The sequence below is a fragment of the Homo sapiens genome, chromosome 12, assembly GCF_000001405.40.
Source record: "Homo sapiens chromosome 12, GRCh38.p14 Primary Assembly".
In the NCBI taxonomy this organism is placed as follows: domain Eukaryota; kingdom Metazoa; phylum Chordata; class Mammalia; order Primates; family Hominidae; genus Homo; species Homo sapiens.
The window spans coordinates 55740625-55758838 of NC_000012.12; the positions used below are offsets into that span (position 1 = coordinate 55740625).

The 18214-nt window shown below is 49.2% G+C and overlaps 2 protein-coding genes across 5 annotated transcripts in view, besides 3 other annotated features; one reads left to right on the plus strand and one right to left on the minus strand.

The window, feature by feature from the left end:
- The first annotated feature begins 2497 nt into the window (after positions 1 to 2497).
- Positions 2498 to 16640, plus strand: GDF11 (growth differentiation factor 11). Of its 2 annotated transcripts, XM_006719194.4 has the most exons (4): positions 2498 to 3137; positions 7962 to 8359; positions 8878 to 9259; positions 16389 to 16506. In XM_006719194.4, exons 1-3 carry the CDS (start codon positions 2693 to 2695, stop codon positions 9256 to 9258), a joined length of 1224 nt encoding a protein of 407 aa, XP_006719257.1. In that variant the 5' UTR covers positions 2498 to 2692; the 3' UTR covers position 9259; positions 16389 to 16506. The 2 variants fall into 2 exon arrangements, with proteins under 2 accessions (XP_006719257.1, NP_005802.1); NM_005811.5 differs by having other exon boundaries at positions 8878 to 16640.
- Positions 3474 to 3533: a silencer, noted in NCBI's record as "silent region_4537". NCBI's record gives its function as "represses an Ori minimal core promoter by ATAC-STARR-seq in GM12878 lymphoblastoid cells {active_cell/tissue: GM12878}" and the evidence as "EXISTENCE:reporter gene assay evidence [ECO:0000049][PMID:35858748]".
- Positions 5891 to 6394: an enhancer, noted in NCBI's record as "OCT4-NANOG-H3K27ac-H3K4me1 hESC enhancer chr12:56140299-56140802 (GRCh37/hg19 assembly coordinates)". NCBI's record gives its function as "activates a minimal SCP1, AML or CMV promoter by ChIP-STARR-seq in naive H9 embryonic stem cells {active_cell/tissue: H9 hESC(naive)}" and the evidence as "EXISTENCE:reporter gene assay evidence [ECO:0000049][PMID:30033119]".
- Positions 6395 to 6898: an enhancer, noted in NCBI's record as "OCT4-NANOG-H3K4me1 hESC enhancer chr12:56140803-56141306 (GRCh37/hg19 assembly coordinates)". NCBI's record gives its function as "activates a minimal SCP1, AML or CMV promoter by ChIP-STARR-seq in naive H9 embryonic stem cells {active_cell/tissue: H9 hESC(naive)}" and the evidence as "EXISTENCE:reporter gene assay evidence [ECO:0000049][PMID:30033119]".
- Positions 11839 to 18214, minus strand: part of SARNP (SAP domain containing ribonucleoprotein) — a 65262-nt gene continuing 58886 nt past the window's right edge. For 2 of the 3 annotated variants that reach the window (NR_026722.2, NR_026723.2), the window contains 2 exons: positions 16759 to 16929; positions 11839 to 12216 (listed from right to left, as the gene is read on the minus strand). Coding sequence is in view for 1 of the 3 variants with exons in the window: in NM_033082.4 (NP_149073.1) it covers positions 16888 to 16929 (42 nt within the window). In the remaining 2 variants the exon portion in view is untranslated. Of the gene's footprint in view, positions 12217 to 16645; positions 16930 to 18214 lie in introns of those variants that run through there. The other variant, NM_033082.4, reaches the window with a different exon arrangement.

Below are 18214 nucleotides of genomic sequence, written 5' to 3' on the forward strand. Positions count from 1 at the left end.
CTGAGGAAAGGAGCTGAGTCTTACTTACTTTTGCATCTCATTTATCTTTGTACCTGCCACTAGATACATGTTTGGTGAGGAAGTGAAGCCTGTACTACCTTCTCTAAGGGAGAAGAAGGAGGTGACACCAACTTTGCTCTCACAGCCTTTCCAATTTTGCTGAAGAAATGACAGAGAAACATTTTAGAAAATAGGATATGCCAGAATATGTGCTAAAGGCAATCGCTGCTCTGGAAAATCAGAAAGGAAAGGAAGAATCATGAAGGAGAAGAAGCCCATGAAGGCCACTATTGATTGCTTATATGTAATCCCCACAACCAGTTAAGGGTAGGAATTGTGGCCCCATATTATAGATTAAGAAACTTGATGAAATGCTGAAATGCCCATGTCTTGGTTGAAAGCAAGGGAGGGAACAAGCTAAGTTTTTGTTCCAGTCTGTTTTGTTTTCAGTTTCTGTTACCCATGGAAATGGATTGTCTCTTCAAAGCTCCCCAGCTTGGTCCTCCTAACCCCTACCCAACCTCCTCCCCTCATACCTGGATCCCCAGTTTCTTCCCTTATTTTACTCCAGTTCCTCAACCCAACTCTATCCTTATGTCTGGTGCTCCTGATGCCTATGCCAAGCCAACTTTAAGATATGTTATTGGGCTTTAATTCCAGAGAGGAAACCAATGCCCCTCTATTCTGAGAAGCCCAATAATAAAGTTCATCCATTTATTAAATAAACATTGTGAATGCCAGGAAATTAGCAAGACCTGATTCCTTCAAACATTTTCTTTTCTTTTCTTTTTTTTTTTTTTTTGAGACGGAGTCTCACTCTGTCGCCCAGGCTGGGGTGCAATGGCGCGATCTCGGCTCACTGCAAGCTCCGCCTCCCAGGTTCACGCCATTCTCCTGCCTCAGCCTCCCCAGCAGCTAGGACTACAGGCACCCGCCACCACGCCCGGCTAATTTTTTGTATTTTTAGTAGAGACAGGGTTTCACCGTGTTAGCCAGGATGGTCTCGATCTCCTGACCTCGTGATCCGCCCACCTCGGCCTCCCAAAGTGCTGGGATTACAGGCGTGAGCCACCGCGCCTGGCCTGGCACAAACATTTTCCATTTGACTATTGCTCCAGGGCTTTCAGATCCAGAAATAAGCCTGGAAAACCTGAAGTCAGAAGTTAAGCACATTCAAAACATTTTTTCACCTTAGTACTGTTTTACTCTGCTCTCTGACTGCCCAGGATCACACCTGAAGACTAGGGCTGGTCCCACATCTGTATTTCATCTCGTGCATCTGAGCGCAGACTTCTTTCCCATGCTCACCCTTGCAACCTCCAGCCCCTTCTCAGACTTCTAAGACCCTGCAGATCCAAAGATATAGCTAGAAATCCAGAGATCTAGATTTCTCCCCAAGTATAACAGCCTCCAGCCATCTCCTCTCACCCTTCCCCCAGTGGCCTCTAGCTCCTGCCTTTTCCAGCCGGCTGACTACATTAGCCCTGTTAAGCCCCAGTTTCAAGCTCACAGTCTTCCCAGCTCTATGTCTTCCCTCTGTTTCAGTTCTTCCCATCACCTCTCCACCTTCTTAGGTTGTCCCTGACCTCTTCCTCTCCTAGTCCCCTTAATCCCTCTGATGAGCCTAGCCTGGTGCTTCCTTCCATGGCTTCCTTGAGCATCTTCTTTGGGCTACCTCTGGTGGCTAGAGCTCCTCTGGTCTCAAGTTCTCCACCTCTGTCCCCTGGGCTCTCTGTGCTCCCACCAAGGCTGACTCTTGTGGCTCCTTCTCTCAGGAGTTTCTGCCTTTCCTCTCCCCCACCCCCAATCCCCTGCACCTGCCTCCTCAGGGGCTCCCTTGTTGTCTCCCTGTCTGTGCCCCTCTCTCTCCTCCCCCATCCTGATTTCTCTCCCCCCCACCCCCCCCCCCACCCCTTTCCCAGGGCACTCTTCTGTCCTCTGTTCCTCTGCCGCTGTTCCCATCTCCATGACCCCCGATCTCTTCTGGTCTGGCTCTGTAGACCTCTGTCTCCCCCTATCTAGTGGTACCCCTCTTCTCCCCATTTTTGTCTCCACTCTAACTCTCCCACTAGTTGTCCCAGTCTTCCTCCTTCTTGGTTCTGTGTCTCCCACAGACACACAATTTCCCTCTCTAGCTAAGTCTCTCACCTCTGCGTCTTCCCCCTGACTCTTCTTTTCCTCCTTTGTCTCTCCCTCTCTCCTCCTCCTTTTCCTATCTCTGTCTCTTCCCCCTTATCTCTCTGATTCTCCTTGGTCTCTCTGGCTCTGACTTTCCCTCTATATCCGCCCCCCCGCCCCCTCATATCTCTGTCTCTTCATCTCTCTCTGGCCCTTGCTCCCTCATTCCCTCCCTCTCTCTATTCCTCGGCTCTCTCCGGCTCCCTCTCTCGCCTCGGATGACAGCGCTGCCTCTTTTGTTGGCTCCGCAGCCAATCGCGGCCGCTGACGACACGGGGGCCGGGGCTATAAAGGGCCTGGCCCGGGCTCGGGCCCCCCCAGCCGCCCGCCCCGGCCGCCCGCCCGCCCCGCCCGCGCGCCCGCCGCCCCCGGCCCCCCGGGTCCCCCCTCGGCCGGGCAGCCCCCAATCCCGCGCCGCCCGGACCCCCTCCTCCTCCCTCCCTCCTCCCTCCGCCCCCTCCCCGCGGGACTCCGGCGTCCCCGCCCCCCAGTCCTCCCTCCCCTCCCCTCCAGCATGGTGCTCGCGGCCCCGCTGCTGCTGGGCTTCCTGCTCCTCGCCCTGGAGCTGCGGCCCCGGGGGGAGGCGGCCGAGGGCCCCGCGGCGGCGGCGGCGGCGGCGGCGGCGGCGGCAGCGGCGGGGGTCGGGGGGGAGCGCTCCAGCCGGCCAGCCCCGTCCGTGGCGCCCGAGCCGGACGGCTGCCCCGTGTGCGTTTGGCGGCAGCACAGCCGCGAGCTGCGCCTAGAGAGCATCAAGTCGCAGATCTTGAGCAAACTGCGGCTCAAGGAGGCGCCCAACATCAGCCGCGAGGTGGTGAAGCAGCTGCTGCCCAAGGCGCCGCCGCTGCAGCAGATCCTGGACCTACACGACTTCCAGGGCGACGCGCTGCAGCCCGAGGACTTCCTGGAGGAGGACGAGTACCACGCCACCACCGAGACCGTCATTAGCATGGCCCAGGAGAGTAAGTGGGCTGCGGGGCGCGAGCAGTGGGGTGCTGGCTCTGGCCCCGCGAAGGGCGCCTTCTGCTCCAAGCGGGGCGCTCCCTGCTGCCCCGGCCCGGAAGCTTTTTCTGCGAAAACTTGACGAATTAGGGAGCGGGGGCTACTTCATAGAAGTTTTCCGAGCGGTGGAGATGGGCTGCAAAGTTGTATGCACGCCTAGTTCCCGGAGGTTGGGGCGGGGGAAATGGGGCGGGTTTCGAGATAGTGCCTTCCACCCCCAGTATGCTAAAAAGATCCTTGTTGGAGTCCGGGGAAGCTGGGGCTGGGCAGTGACTCTGTCCTGAAAAGCCGTGGTGGGGAGGCTGGAGAACAGAATCGGGAGGCTGCAGGACCCCCGCAGCCCCAGCTGGACTGCAGTGCTCTCTGCTTCCCAGTGGCCCTGGCGGTAACTCCCCACTCCGTGCTCCGTTCGCAACGTGCCCAACGGGTTGCAGAGAACTGTGTGCTTTCTCCCAAGAATAGGGTCCCAGAGCCCTGTACACCTCCTGGCAGCCCAGCTGGCACCCTTTCCATCCTGACCCCTGTCTCAGACCGGGTATCCCAAGGGGTCGGAAAAGCTGTGCCTTCTTGATACTGACCGAGCTCGGAGAGCTCAACTCCATTGCGCTGGGGGCTAAGGACACTCATTGGCTACTCAAACCTTAGTGTTCCATCCCTTATTCGCCCACCCCTACCGCAGGTGGACTTGAGAGAGACGAAGACCTAGGAAAAAAGAGAAAGTAGTAGATGGGGGAGCAGGAACCCAGGCATCCGAGCCCCTGACCAAACGGAAGATGAACATATAATAGACATGAGCTGCTTTGAAATTTTATGGCCTGGAAAATCCAGGCGAATACTACACCCCCCCTTTTCCAGCTCTCCTTAGGGTCAGGTGACTCCTTCTCCTCCCCCACTGAGGTCTCCCCCCCTCCCCAACTACAGGGAACCAGGCCTCTCTTATTCCCTAGTGGTTTGGCAAGGTTCCCCCCTTCCCACAGCCCCCTGCAACACACACAGAGTTTGGTTTTATGGCTGTGAACAGAAGACGGGGGAGACTGGTTTATTGGCAGATGGGTCATAAAAAGCTGGGGGCTGAGGGGAGTCCCAGTGGCCCACCCCCATGGGAGAGGCACAGGAACCCAGGTGTGCATCTGGGAGGCTGAGTGCCTCACACTGCCCCTGGTATTTCTGCAGACCTCAATTCCACAAGACTTGGTCAGGGCTGTTAAACTCAAAGAACCAGGAAACTGGCTGTGGGGGTGGGAGGTATGGGGATCCGGTCTGGGGTTCCTCAGTTTCCCTTCTATTCTTAAGCCTTCTGCTTATGGAAGCTAGGGTCAGTCTCAGATCGACTGAGGGCAGGGGTAGGGGGTGGGGTTTCTAGGAAACAGAGTTATAGAGGAATTCAGATCAAGAGTTTGCTGGAAGATGAAGGTTACAGAGGGAAAAGATACTCTAGTCTCTGTGGTGTAGTGTGTGTGAAGATTTCCAGGATGGGTGATGGGGCTGTGGACTTCTCCTTGCCCCTAAATATCCTTAGCATCCCTTAACCAACAGGCCTGAGCCCACCAGAGTTAGCTCTGGTAATGGGGATACACGAAGTGAAGGGACCCTGCCTTCATGAGTTGGGCTGTGCAGGTGAGGCCTGGGTCGGTGGGAAGGGGACACCAGCTGGTAGGATCCCATCAAAACTTACAGTCCCGTGCCACCCCAGGACTTGTACAAGTAGGGAACTGGGTCTCCGGCCAGGTATTGTACGTCCCCTTTAAGAGCCTAGCTGAGCTCTTAAGAGAGGGAGGGGGAGTGGAGGGGAGGGGAGGGAGAGAGGGGAAAAGGAAAAAGAGACTTTTATAGTCTAATCCCCAGGGACCCGCTTTAATAAGAGACTTGTGCTCTGCTAATCGGGGGAGGTGTTTGTCAGCAGAGATGGCCTCCGTTCCCCTCCCCCTCCCTCCCCTCCCCCAGCCCTCAACCCTGGACCCCAGCCCCCACCTCTCCTAGGCTGCTCTGCCTGCCCTAGTTCCCTCTACCCTCTCAGGCTCTCCCACCAAGCCTTCATCCTGGGAACCCAGCCCCCTGCCCTTCTGGGAGCCAAGCCCAGCCCGAGTTTCTCTCTCCTCCCCACACCAAGAGGCCCCTGCCCTCTCAGCCCAACCTCCTGCCCTTAGGCCTTCCAGCCATGGTTGGGAGTGTGTGTGTTTGGGGGGGTTAGGGTGGGGGGAAGGGGAGGTGGTGTGCAGGGAGGGGGTTGGGCATTTGCTGAAAATAGTGCAGTGACCTCTCTCTCCCACCAGCGCCGCCTACTAAACCTGACCTGCTGCCTGCCACCAGCCCGATCAATTCAACACAGATGTGGCCCCTTTTCCTCCCCATCAGAGCTCGGCATATGTGTGCTGGGTACTCTCTCGAGCCCCGTTTCCCTCTGTGGCTCTACCTGCTTCTCCTTTGTTCCTCAGTCTGTACCCTTTCTATCCTTTCTCTCCTTTACCCCACTAGGTTTAGCTTCCTCCCACCTTTAGCTTTCTAACCATCACCCACTCCTTTCTATCACTGCCTCTGCATCAGGATTCTCAAACTCTCAAACTTATTCTCCCTTTGCCATGATTATCCCCTGCATCTTTCCACTCTAACTTCTATTTCTCTCCCTATATCTACTAATATGCCTTCAACTCTTAACAGTCTCTTCTCTATTATCTCCCTCACCATCTCCAGTCTCTCCCCTGGCTCTTCTCCCTGCTCTTTTCTTTCTCCCTATGTTCTACCTCCTTGTAGCACTGACTGTCCCCTGTCCACTGGGACAAGTATGTGGAACCAAAGACTTAGATGTAGCCCTCATCTTCAAACCCTGGATCAGCTTAGGTAGAGGGAGGGTTATGTTTAGAGCTTAGTAGAGAATGCGAAAATAGTAGTAGCTTCTCAATAAATGTTGGTTTGTTTGTTTCCTATTTTCACATTCTCTAGTTAATGCTCAGCACTCATGTGAAGCAAGAATTATTATTATCTGTATCACACTGAGAAGTTTGGTGAGTAAGGTTAGATAGTGGTTAGTAAGGAATCAGGCAGTGATTAAACCCACTTCAATTATAGCCAAAGAACAGAATTTAGATGCCAGGAAGAACTTTCAGGCACTTGCCTGTATAATTTAAGATTGGGAGTTTAGGGAGTTCATTCACCATGTATTTATTGAGTGCTGTCTAGCACTATGGGAGGCACTGAAGCTACAATGGTGAGCAAAACAGACACAGTATGAATAACAACAGTGTCCACTCTCATGGAGATTAGTACCTAATGGCAAGAAAATAGACAATTCTTATGCTGAAATTTGTAAAGTATGCTATTTGGGATGTTGCTTGTCACTCCCCATCTCACTAGTAGCTTCCCTATCCCAGCTACTTCTGATCTCTGAATTCTCACCCCCCAAACCCTACTCCATTGCACCATCACTGAAGCTCCAGCCAGTAAAATAACTGGACTACCAGGGCCCTGGGACCTCAGAGAATAATCAAGAAAAAAAAAAGCTATAGAGACTTTGGGTATCATATCCTGAATATATGAAGTTCATTAAGCACTTTCTCCTCATCTCCCTTAGAAGGTCCTCTTTCTCCCAGGGTGGGGGTGGGGAAGAGCTGACAGGACACCCTAAGTCCATCCTGATTTTGCAGAACTCAAGACATGGGGAGGATACTTAAAGGCCTAGACTTCCTAACCCTGCTTATATGGCTCTGGAAGCTCATTCCTGATTCTTCCTATCTAGAGTCAGGATAGACATATTCTGTCCAATGGAGACATGTTGTAGGACACTCCCAACTGACTTAGGAAAGGCAGTGAAGAGGAGCTGGAATGGAGGCAGAGGCAGATATTTATTGAGAATCATCTATTAGACCCAAGAAGGATCAATTTAAGGTCCAGAGCAAGGGGAAATGGGTCAAAATGTAAAGTTGGGATGTTCAAACTTTGTAAAGACCTACTGGCACTAGACTGAGAAGTCAAAGGAAGCTCAGGGGAGAAAAAAGGCATTGTAGTTAATCTGGTGTATTTAATATTATTTCTGGTGCTTTAGGCAAATAGGAGGCAACACCATGGAGGTAATTATTCCTTTCCTCAAGAGCTGGGGGCAGTCATGGTGATGATGATGGAGCAGCAGCTGAAGAAACTTCTTAAGAGAGAATGGGGAGACAGATGTATAGGAAGTGCTTGGATAGTTCCATTTTGCTGGGTGTTATTCCTAATGGGAGTGAGGCAAGAAGCCTAGATCTGAATTCTGGTTTACATAATGGGATAAATTTAGCTCATGCTCCCTATCTGGACCCTGGGTTATCCCCTCTCTGAGGCCATCTGTGTTATTTTGTGGGGGAGGGATGTGCCAGGCTCTACCTGTCCAGCAGATAAATCAGAGCAGATAGGGGAAAGGTGATGGAAGGGCAGCAGGTGTGATAAGAGGTATGGCTTCTATAAAGAGCTTCAAAGATTCAGAAAATGTTGGAGCCTTATATGCTGGGAAAAGTTGGACAGTAAGGATGGTGGTGGATGAATAATTTTGCAGGTTATCTGGTAGACAGGAACCTATATATTAGGGCAAATGGATTAGGAAATGGACACAGATCAGTAAGGCCTTATAGGGCCATCATCCTAAAGAGGAAGTGCTGTTTTAGGTACCGGAGACATGGTATAAGATAGGCATGGGAGAAGGGTAAAGAAGAACTGGAAAATCAGGCTGAGAAGTCCAAAATTGCCAGTGCCACCCAGGACTACTGATCCCCTACACAAACACCCTTTGCTGATGCTGTGCCCTTCTCTCTTATCAGCGGACCCAGCAGTACAGACAGATGGCAGCCCTCTCTGCTGCCATTTTCACTTCAGCCCCAAGGTGATGTTCACAAAGGTACTGAAGGCCCAGCTGTGGGTGTACCTACGGCCTGTACCCCGCCCAGCCACAGTCTACCTGCAGATCTTGCGACTAAAACCCCTAACTGGGGAAGGGACCGCAGGGGGAGGGGGCGGAGGCCGGCGTCACATCCGTATCCGCTCACTGAAGATTGAGCTGCACTCACGCTCAGGCCATTGGCAGAGCATCGACTTCAAGCAAGTGCTACACAGCTGGTTCCGCCAGCCACAGAGCAACTGGGGCATCGAGATCAACGCCTTTGATCCCAGTGGCACAGACCTGGCTGTCACCTCCCTGGGGCCGGGAGCCGAGGGGCTGGTGAGCAGGGGGCCTGAGGTGGTGGATATGTGTAACCTGGCCCTGAGGAGATAGGGTTACATTGGAAAAGGTAGACAAGGAATGTGAAGGAGGTTGGGGACCAGCATTACTTCTCTGGGGTCAGCAGCTGATTCTAGAGGAGGAGGTGAGGAGTGGGGTGGCAACTATTACTTCTCAAGGATCCAAATCAGACAACAGCTGAAAACTGGATTTGAAGGTAAAGGTGTCAGTTAATGGAAGAGCTGTGAGAACAAAAAAACTGGCTGTTGAGGCGTTGGGCCAAGGGGCTGACAGGGATCAGGTTGCCAGAAGAGTAAGAATTAGAGATGGTGAGTTGAAGGAGAGCTAGCTAGCTGGCAAGAAAAGTGGGCAAAAGATAAATTCTGGGGGTGGGAGCAATGGAAAAGCTGAGAAGTCAGCAGTCTCTATTCTGATGCCCCTGGCAGGTGGGAAAGGAACAGGGAAGAGGAACTGTTCAGGACCATATCACATTTCTTTCCCCTCTCCCTGACCCTCAGCATCCATTCATGGAGCTTCGAGTCCTAGAGAACACAAAACGTTCCCGGCGGAACCTGGGTCTGGACTGCGACGAGCACTCAAGCGAGTCCCGCTGCTGCCGATATCCCCTCACAGTGGACTTTGAGGCTTTCGGCTGGGACTGGATCATCGCACCTAAGCGCTACAAGGCCAACTACTGCTCCGGCCAGTGCGAGTACATGTTCATGCAAAAATATCCGCATACCCATTTGGTGCAGCAGGCCAATCCAAGAGGCTCTGCTGGGCCCTGTTGTACCCCCACCAAGATGTCCCCAATCAACATGCTCTACTTCAATGACAAGCAGCAGATTATCTACGGCAAGATCCCTGGCATGGTGGTGGATCGCTGTGGCTGCTCTTAAGGTGGGGGATAGAGGATGCCTCCCCCACAGACCCTACCCCAAGACCCCTAGCCCTGCCCCCATCCCCCCAAGCCCTAGAGCTCCCTCCACTCTTCCCGCGAACATCACACCGTTCCCCGACCAAGCCGTGTGCAATACAACAGAGGGAGGCAGGTGGGAATTGAGGGTGAGGGGTTTGGGGGAAAGGGGAAGCAGGGGCATAGTCAGGGTGGGGAGTGTTTGAAGTTTGCAGATGAGAAGGTTTGACAAAAAGACAGAGAGATGTAGAGACAGTGATAGAGACAGAGGAACAAAAAGAGCAGCAGTGAGAAGGCAAAGAGAGAGGCAGAAGAGACAGACGAGGCAGAGACAAAACACTGAGAAAGAGACTGAAATGGAGTAATAAATGAAAGCCCCACACCAAGCCTCCTTTCTTCCACTGGCAAGGTGAGGGGCTTGGTATAGTTTGGGGAGATCCCCTGACTATTCAGTAGGAGAAGAAATCAAAAATCCATTCTTTTCTCCTTCTCTCCCTCCAACAGTGGCCAGGGGAAGGGGAAGTGAGGGCAGGGGCAAAAAGATTTGGGAATTTTTATTTATTTATTTATTGTGACTTTTCATTTTTTTGGTATTTGGCTTTACTGGAATAGGAGGGCCCCTGCCCACTGTGCCCCGTTTATCCCTTATTCCCCAAACCCTGCTCTCCCCAACACCTACTCACTTAAGCACTTGTATAAAGCCTCCAGGGTTGGGAATGGGAGTAAAGGGCAAGAGGGCGGACACATGAAGTTTAGTTTCTAACCCATCATCACCCTAACTCAACCTTTTCTGAGCCAAATGGCTTGAATTGAAGCCAGTTGTCATGGAAATAGTAAGAGGTTAGGGTTTAAGAGCTGGGGATGCGGGGGTGGGAGAGAGAACCCTCAACATCCAGGATCTATATAATGAGAGCTACTTTAAACCCTCAGGTCCACCCTCATGATGCTGAGTTATTTAGCCAGAGGGTGCAGCCTGCTTATGCCCAAATTCCCTCAGCCAAGAGAGAGACCAAAGAGCCTCTGGAATGGCCCTGCTCCCAGCCTCTATCTTCAGGTCAATTAGAGAGAGTATAGAGACCCCAGAGTCCCCTGGGTCTGGAAAGCGTTAGGAGAGGTCAAGAAAGGAGCAGTAAGGAGGCTGAAGGTTACAGGGCATTTGAATCCAAATCACTGCTCTGGGCTAGGGAATAGAGCCAGCAGACCAAGGTGGGAAGGATTCTGGAAGGGGGACATTTTAGTCTCCTAACCCCAAAGCTCAGGGTGGAAGAGGGGAGAACAAGGAAGCAGAGTGTATAATTATTTTTTCCTTTTATTTTTGGAATCTAACAGTACCTGGCAGCAGGGAGGGGAAAGTACAGTGGGGAAAAGCATCTGACAAGGCCAGTTAGAACAGAGGATGGGAAGGATGGAGACTCCCGGGCTTGGAAGGCTAGGAAGCAGGCAGAGACTGGTTGCCATTTCAAGTCACTAGCTAGGCCCATTCATTCCTCCCACAACCCTGACCCATTCTCCTCTGGACTCACTGTGCCTCAGTTTCTTCCCCTCAATGGAATGAGAAATGACAGCACCCGCCACAGCCAAGAGATGAATTCTGAGCACTTACCACGGGCACTTTATGGACATAAAATACCTCTCGCTGTGGGACAGATAACCAGGGCACCAGAGTAGTGGTGAAGAGATGTGAGGCTTAAGAGGAGTCACAGGCTTCAGAGTACAAGTTCCCCTCTGCCTCCCAGCTGGACAGTGCCTAGAAGCCAAGGAGTTGAGAATCTCCTGATCCACACCCTATCCTTACTTCACCACCAGGCCTCTTGGCTCCAGGCAAGAGCTTAGAGGATGTCAGGAGAGGTGGGGGTAAGAATCTTCAGCAAAACTGTCACTCTAAGTAGAGCCAGCAGTTACGGGTCTGATAAAAACAGTACTGAACTAAAGTAAAGCCCAAGCTGGTGAGCAAAACTGGATGGCTCATTCTTCCCAAGAGCATGACTCTCCCCCTTGGCCAGTTGGTGGAAGGGGCAAAGGTATGTGACCACCCTTGAGAAGGTGATGTTGGTGAGCTTTAACATCTTATTCCTATTCTTATAGTGAGAAAGTGAAACAAGATCTTTCAGTAGAGGAATGGGCAGGGCTGTTAGGCTCTTCAGCTTGCCTTCACCCATATAGCAGCTATGCTAACCCCAAGCCTCTCTGGCCCTGTTCTTCATCCTTCCTTCTGCCCCAATCCTGAAGGACAAGACACACCCGGCCATCAACACCACTCACATTTCCTTGGTGGAAGGAAAGGAACAGAGAAGTGAAGAACAGATACCTCCCTCCAAGGTCAAATGCCTCGTGATCTTGGCAGAGTAGGGATTGGGCAATAAGCATCAGGTATCTTCCCTCTACAGATTCTAGAGAGCTGGGGCATTAAATATGGGGGACACTTAGAATACAGCTCCTTAAATACCACCAAATAAAGACCTTTGTGTGTGTGTGGTGGGTGGGGGGGGGGCAGGGGTCTTTCTCTTATGAACATAAATCTGTGAGCTGAAGTCTCATTCCCCTGTTCCTCCCTACCCCCAAAGAGGCACAGAGTGAAGGGACTTGGGGGGCACAGCTCAGCAACCCAGTGGGAGTTAGCACCCCCTCCCACCTTATGATGTGTGTGGACCTGGCCAGTGCCCCTCTGAACATATCATTATTAGTGTAATTATCATTTATTTTGTGTATTTGTCACATTGTGTGCATGACAGCCTTTGTTAAGGGTGTCTGAGGAGTATGGAGCTGACAGGGGCATTGGAATGCCAGGAAAGAACTTCTTCAACTGAGATCAAGGCTTCCTGGAGGGAACCACTGCAAAAAGGCCATCAGGCAGTTTTCAAGTTATGTGACAGAGGGCAAAGACGGCCATAGGGTGCTCTGAGTTTTGGGATGGTCACATGACACAATCCAGCACTTGAACCTGAAAAAAAAAATAAAAGCGGTCAAAGAGTTTAGAATTCAGTGCTGAGCTCTTCTCCCTAATCAAGTGCCACATTTACACCTTGGAGAACCGGAGGTGAAGAGGATCTGAGACAGGAAACCTCGTGTTCAATGACTAAGAAGATGGGGTCCTGGAGCAAGACAGAAAACACTAAGGGCATGGTGGTATAAGGTTTGGGACATGCAGGCCAAGGAAGGATGGAAAGAGGACAGGAAACTGGGGGTACCTAGAACAACCCCTCTCTGAAAAGCTTGAGCCAAAACAGTCCCAAAGACAACAAGACCCCTCTCCCAGCCTCCACAGAATGGAAGATCTAAAGGTTCTCTTGAGATGATCCAGCTAGTATGGAAGATCTAAAGGTTCTCTTGAGATGATCCAGCTAGTGTCCTATTCTCCTGCAGTCCCTGTTCCTAGGTTTCCTCAACGAAGTTTGACAAAAATCTAAACCAACATAGCCAACGAACTTGCCTTGTTACACAAGAGTGGCTAAAATAGCATCTCAAATATTCTTTCAGTTCACTGTAAAAATTTTTCCCATGTACCTAGAGCACAATTCCCCAGGAATATGAGTTGGGAATGGCAAAAGAATATTGCCTGACTCACATTTTTCAAAAATAAGGAAAGCTGGCTGGGCGCAGTGGCTTACATCTGTAATCCCAGCACTTTGGGGGGCCGAGGCGGGCGGATCATGCAAGGTCCGGAGTTCGAGACCATGCTGGCCAACATTGTGAAACCTCATCTCTACTAAAATACCCAAAATTAGCCGGGCGTGGTGGCGTGCGCCTGTAATCCCAGCTACATGGAAGGCTGAGGCAGAAGAATCGCTTGAACCCAGGTGGCGGAGGTTGCAGTGAGCTGAGATCGCACCACTGCACTCTAGCATGGTGACAGAGTGAGACTCCCATCTCCAAAAAAAAAAAAAAAAAAAAAAAAAGGAAAGCAGGACCCAGTGGTGTGCTCCTGTAGTTCCAGCTATTCAGGAGGCTGTGGCAGGAGGACCACTTGAGGCCAGAGGGTCAAGGCTGCAGTGTGCTATAATTGGGCCTGTAAATAGCCACTGTACTCCAAGCTGAGCAACACAGTAAGACACTGTCTCTAAAAATAATTAAAGTAAAATAAAAATAAGGAAAGCTCCTGTGACATCAACCTGATCCAGAATTGGGGACAGCGCTACTGCGGGTTCAATGTACTGCCATGTTTTCCCTGTCTTATCAGTTCTATCAGCACACTGACCCCACTCGAGACCAACTACAAGACTAAGGCTGGAAGTGGTTGAGTAGCAGAAGTGTTATGTATTCTATCTTCCCAAGGGAACCATATCCACATCTACCCCTAACTTTGGCCTGAGCTGAAAATGGGTTTTCTCTCCCTGTGGCTCATTTGTTTCCTATATTGAGAGAACACCCAAAAAAAGACTACTCAAGATGACTTTTTACAAGTCTTTTCTTTATCCTAAAACATCCTCCAACCGAAGGCATGGGAAGCTATCCTATACTCTGACCTTGCCTATATTTTAAATGGCAGGGGCCCCAAGCTAAGAATCAGCAGGCAGTGGCATCTACAGCTTCTGGTCTGTAGTGGCGTAGAAGCAGGAAAATCAATGCTCCAAAGCAACAATGTCCAGCTTTCCTGCCAGTGAGCTGGGCTTGAGGGAGTGAATGGGACTCTTTCTGCCTTTTCTTTTTCTCAAAATACGACTGCATTAACTGGGTGTATGCACACACAAACATGTTCAAACTAGGGCACTCATACCTAGCTAGAACCTACTCAGGGAAAGAAATATGTATTTCCACAGTACCCTGATCACCCAGTAAAAGCTAATATTTATTGAATAATTACTATGCAAATTATGGTAAGCAAATTGTAGTGTGAATACATGATATGAGAATATCACTTAATTCACACAGCAACCTTCACAATGGGGTTCCTTTTGGTACAGTCTGAAAAGAGAATGATTATCTGCGCAGGGTCTCAGAGCTAGTGTGGTAGAATAAGAAATTAAACCTAAGTAGTTGCTAAACAATATTACATTCTAATCTATCCTATTGAAAGTGATCCGGGAGGTAGAAACCTAAATACAGGAATAACATAAGGGAAAGAGATAACAAGAAAGTTAGGGACACCTTGGACTCAAAGAATCTGGAAAGATGTGAAACCTGTAATTTTAAATCCCTTTGGAAGGGAAAAACAAGAAAAGTCTAGATATGGCAAGAGAAGGGGAGGTTAAATTTTGGGGGGATTCCAATAATCAGAAATAAGTGGCATTGCCAGAGGCCCTCATATAAGAGAACAGCAAAAAAGTTATCCTCCCTTAAGTTCCTCCCTCACTCCTCATATCAGACACAGCAAGAGAACTCAGCTCAACACCAAGAAGTCCTGCCCTTATTCACACCTTCCTTCCTATAGCCCTCATCCTCACAGAAGCTTCTAGCCTCTATCTTCAGCAGTTCTTAAGAGGTGGGGTGGGGGGCTGGGCAGTTTAGAGTGAGAGTGGAAAAAAAGAATAATCCTAGAGAACCATAAAAAAGTACAGATTTACAGCTGAGGAAGCTAGTTCTCCCCACAGCTTTTATAGACTCCCTCATTAAGAGCTTCCAGGTATGCAGAGAATGTCACAGCTTCAGGAATTGGAATCAGTTAACCACATCTGGATGCTGGATCAACTATAGTAGGGAAACGGGGAGAGGAAGGAAGGGTACTAAGATCTCAGGTAAACAATTACAAGCCTCAATGTCTGTTCCATCTCCAAACGGAATTACTATTTTAAAACTGAATTGGGAAAAAGGCATCCTGAACTATTCATGCTCAAAGAGTATGTGGAGAATGACTATAATGAGATAGGAAGGGGAGGACTTCATCTGGCTTGGAGGTTAGAGACTTCTGACCAACATAGGAACAGCTGCTGAAATGGGATGAAAGAGGTTAATAAGAAAAAAAAAAAAATCCTCACAAATTGGAAAACACTGTTCAAAGATCTAGGGGAAGTAAGATGAGTGAGGAGAATAATTAGGCTTCAAGAAGAGAATCCTGGCAAGTAAGGCTGAATATCTTTCTGGAAGGTTATAGAGGATAAAGAGACGAAGAAAACTTCCAAAAGATCCACTGTTCCACTTCATAATCAGCATCTGCTCTATTCCCTCATGTATTTTTCTCTTTTTAAAACCATATTCAGGAAGAAACCATTAGTGAATCTATAATCTCTCAAGTTACAAATCAGATCTATTCTGTTTTCAGATGAAGGCAGAGTAGAGAGAGGAAAAGCTAGCCCCAAGATCAGAGCCTGAGGTAAAGAAAAGGAAGGCAGACAGAAAAGAGGGAAAAGGGAAGGTCATTCCAATTTTAAGGTTTATTTGGTTGAAGAGGTGTCAAAAATTTAACCAGCATTCCCTTTTGTTCACTTCTCCAAAGTCTCAGAATGGGGCAAACTTCACAACAAATGGGCAGCAGTTTTTGGATCTGCTCTCCAAGGCACAATTTTTCTAAATTATCTAAACTTTAGGTCCCTGCTTTCCTCACCAACCAGAGACTTTGGAGAAATAAAGAGATATCTTGACATTAGAAAGGTGATCAAACTATTACCATTTCATTAAGCACAAAACCAGGCAGGTTTTAGTAGAAATAAGGATAAAGGATTACACCACAGCAACATGGGACCTGATCATAGTACCAAAGTCTTCAGGTAAGGTGTCAGGCTCCTAAGTCTTATTACCAAAAATAGCTCAAACAAAAACCGAGCTTATATAAAGATTAAGAGGAGAAATTCTGCAATAACATATCCAAAAAGATTAAGCAGGTTTCAGATCTACATGAACTTGAAGCCTCCAGTTCCACTGCTTATGTTCCCAATGATTTAGCTAACAATGCGTAACAGCTCTGACATCCTCTGTCATGCTTTGATTCTGCATACAAAATTTCTTCTGTCTCTGAGGGATATCCAGCCCATCTCCCTTCCTGAACTGACTGACCAACATAGTATCGTATCACATCACCCTTGAAATCAGGGCCCTTTTCCTTTAATGTGGGACCCTGGACTCCATTTTATCCAAGAAAAAGTCTGCATTATTAGCTAATAACAGAAGGCTACTAATCACTGCCCTTGTATTTATATCCTTTGCAACACCTAAAACCTCCCATGTTCTGTTTTATTTCAGTGGGTCACTACAAGCTGCTGGAGCAAAGACTTGGTGGGTGGGTAACTTAACCTCTTCACAGAGGATAAAAAATGCTTGTGAGTATGACAGAAGGGAATAAACAGGCTTAAAGGGTAAACTCAGTCCTTTTCCTTGTCTTCTCTTCTAAGGGATAAAGGTATTATGGCCAATTCTCTATAATATTTGCCCCTGAAGCTCCCCTTATCTGGTCTAATCTAGCTCCAATAAATCAAAGGAGCACCTAATAAAACACATTGTTCTCTTTTCTATTTTTTTTTATTAACAAGCAACATAATCAAAAACAAAAACACAACAACCTTAAAGCTGAAACAGCAATAAGTCAAACTGCTGCCGCAGTTCATGGATGTACCTGGGGTACATGCTCCCTCATTGCGAGGCAGGACGTAGGCACATGACTGTGCATTTAGGCATATATGTGACCAAGAAGAAGGAGAGAAATGGAAAACACTGGAGAACAGAAAGTATCAGGAACTTTTCATCAGGCAATCCCAAAGCGCTCTGCTCTTTTCCTCTTCTTTGCCTGTAAAGAAGAAGCAAGAAGAAAAAAATTAGACTGAAGACAATAGTTGCCTGGGTTCCTGGCTGCTTTAATCCAAACTCACATGAACTGTCACAAGGCCCGAGAAGGAAGGATGGCCCAGACTTGAGCTTGGTAGCTAGAGATTTCATTCCTGAATCTCTCCAATCCTTCCAGTTATCCAGTAGGAGCTGGAAAGTTTAATGGGTAAGGAGGGTGAGGAGTAAAGAAGATTACTGGGGGTGAGGGACAGAGAGAAGAACAGTGGTAGAAAATGGGAAGATTCCTGAAGCAAAGAGAGCCACTCAGCCTGAGATCAAGCTAGCCTGGAAACAATGGGCTCTTAACAGGCTGGGAAAAGTCTTCCAGTCAATGGGGAGACGGAAGATTTCAGAGGATAAAGGATTAACCAATGCTATTCATAGAGGTGAAGGAGATGCCCTTCTGAGCAGTCAGGCCCAGACAGTAGCTATTCCTTAGGACTCCAACCCACAAAAAAGGCATATAAATCTTTGATGCCAACAGAACGAATAGGGAGTGAGTGGTATGTGGGTGAGTCCCTATCATAGATCTCTTAAAGGAGACAGCAACACTGGAGAGGACACAAAATGGTGAGGGAAGACTTCTGGTTCTGGAAGTGACTCACAGAACAGCACCAAGTCCTTCATGGGCACTCCCAACCACTGCCCCTAGCAGAATACAAACTCCTCTGGCTTTTTTCTAGTGAAGAGTGTTAGCTGATCTGACTCTAAAATTTTCAGGGTTTAATTTACAAGACTGACTCTGATACTTATTCATGAAGAAGCTTTTCATAGGCCAGGCATGGTGGCTCACGCCTGTAATCTCAGGACTTTGAGAGGCCGAGGCAGGCAGATCACGAGGTCAGGAGTTCAAGACCAGCCTGACCAACACGGTAAAACCCCGTCTCTACTAAAAACACAAAAATTAGCCGGGTGTGGTGGCACACGCCTGTAATCCCAGGTACTCAGGAGGCTGAAGCACAATAATCACTTGAACCCGGGAGGCGGAGGTTGCAGTGAGCTGAGATCGCACCACTGCACTCCAGCCTGGACGACAGAGCGAGACTCCATCTCAAAAAAAAAAAGAAGCTTTTCATAAAGCATCATCCTGTTGGTACTGTCCTCAAGATAGTAAGTTCTTGCCAGATATGGCTGTTTAAGGCCTTCCACCATGATTGTAAGCTTCCTGAGGCCTCCCCAGAAGCCAAGCAGATGCCAGCACCATGCTTCCCATAAAGCCTGCAGAAATGTAAGCCAATTAAGCCTCT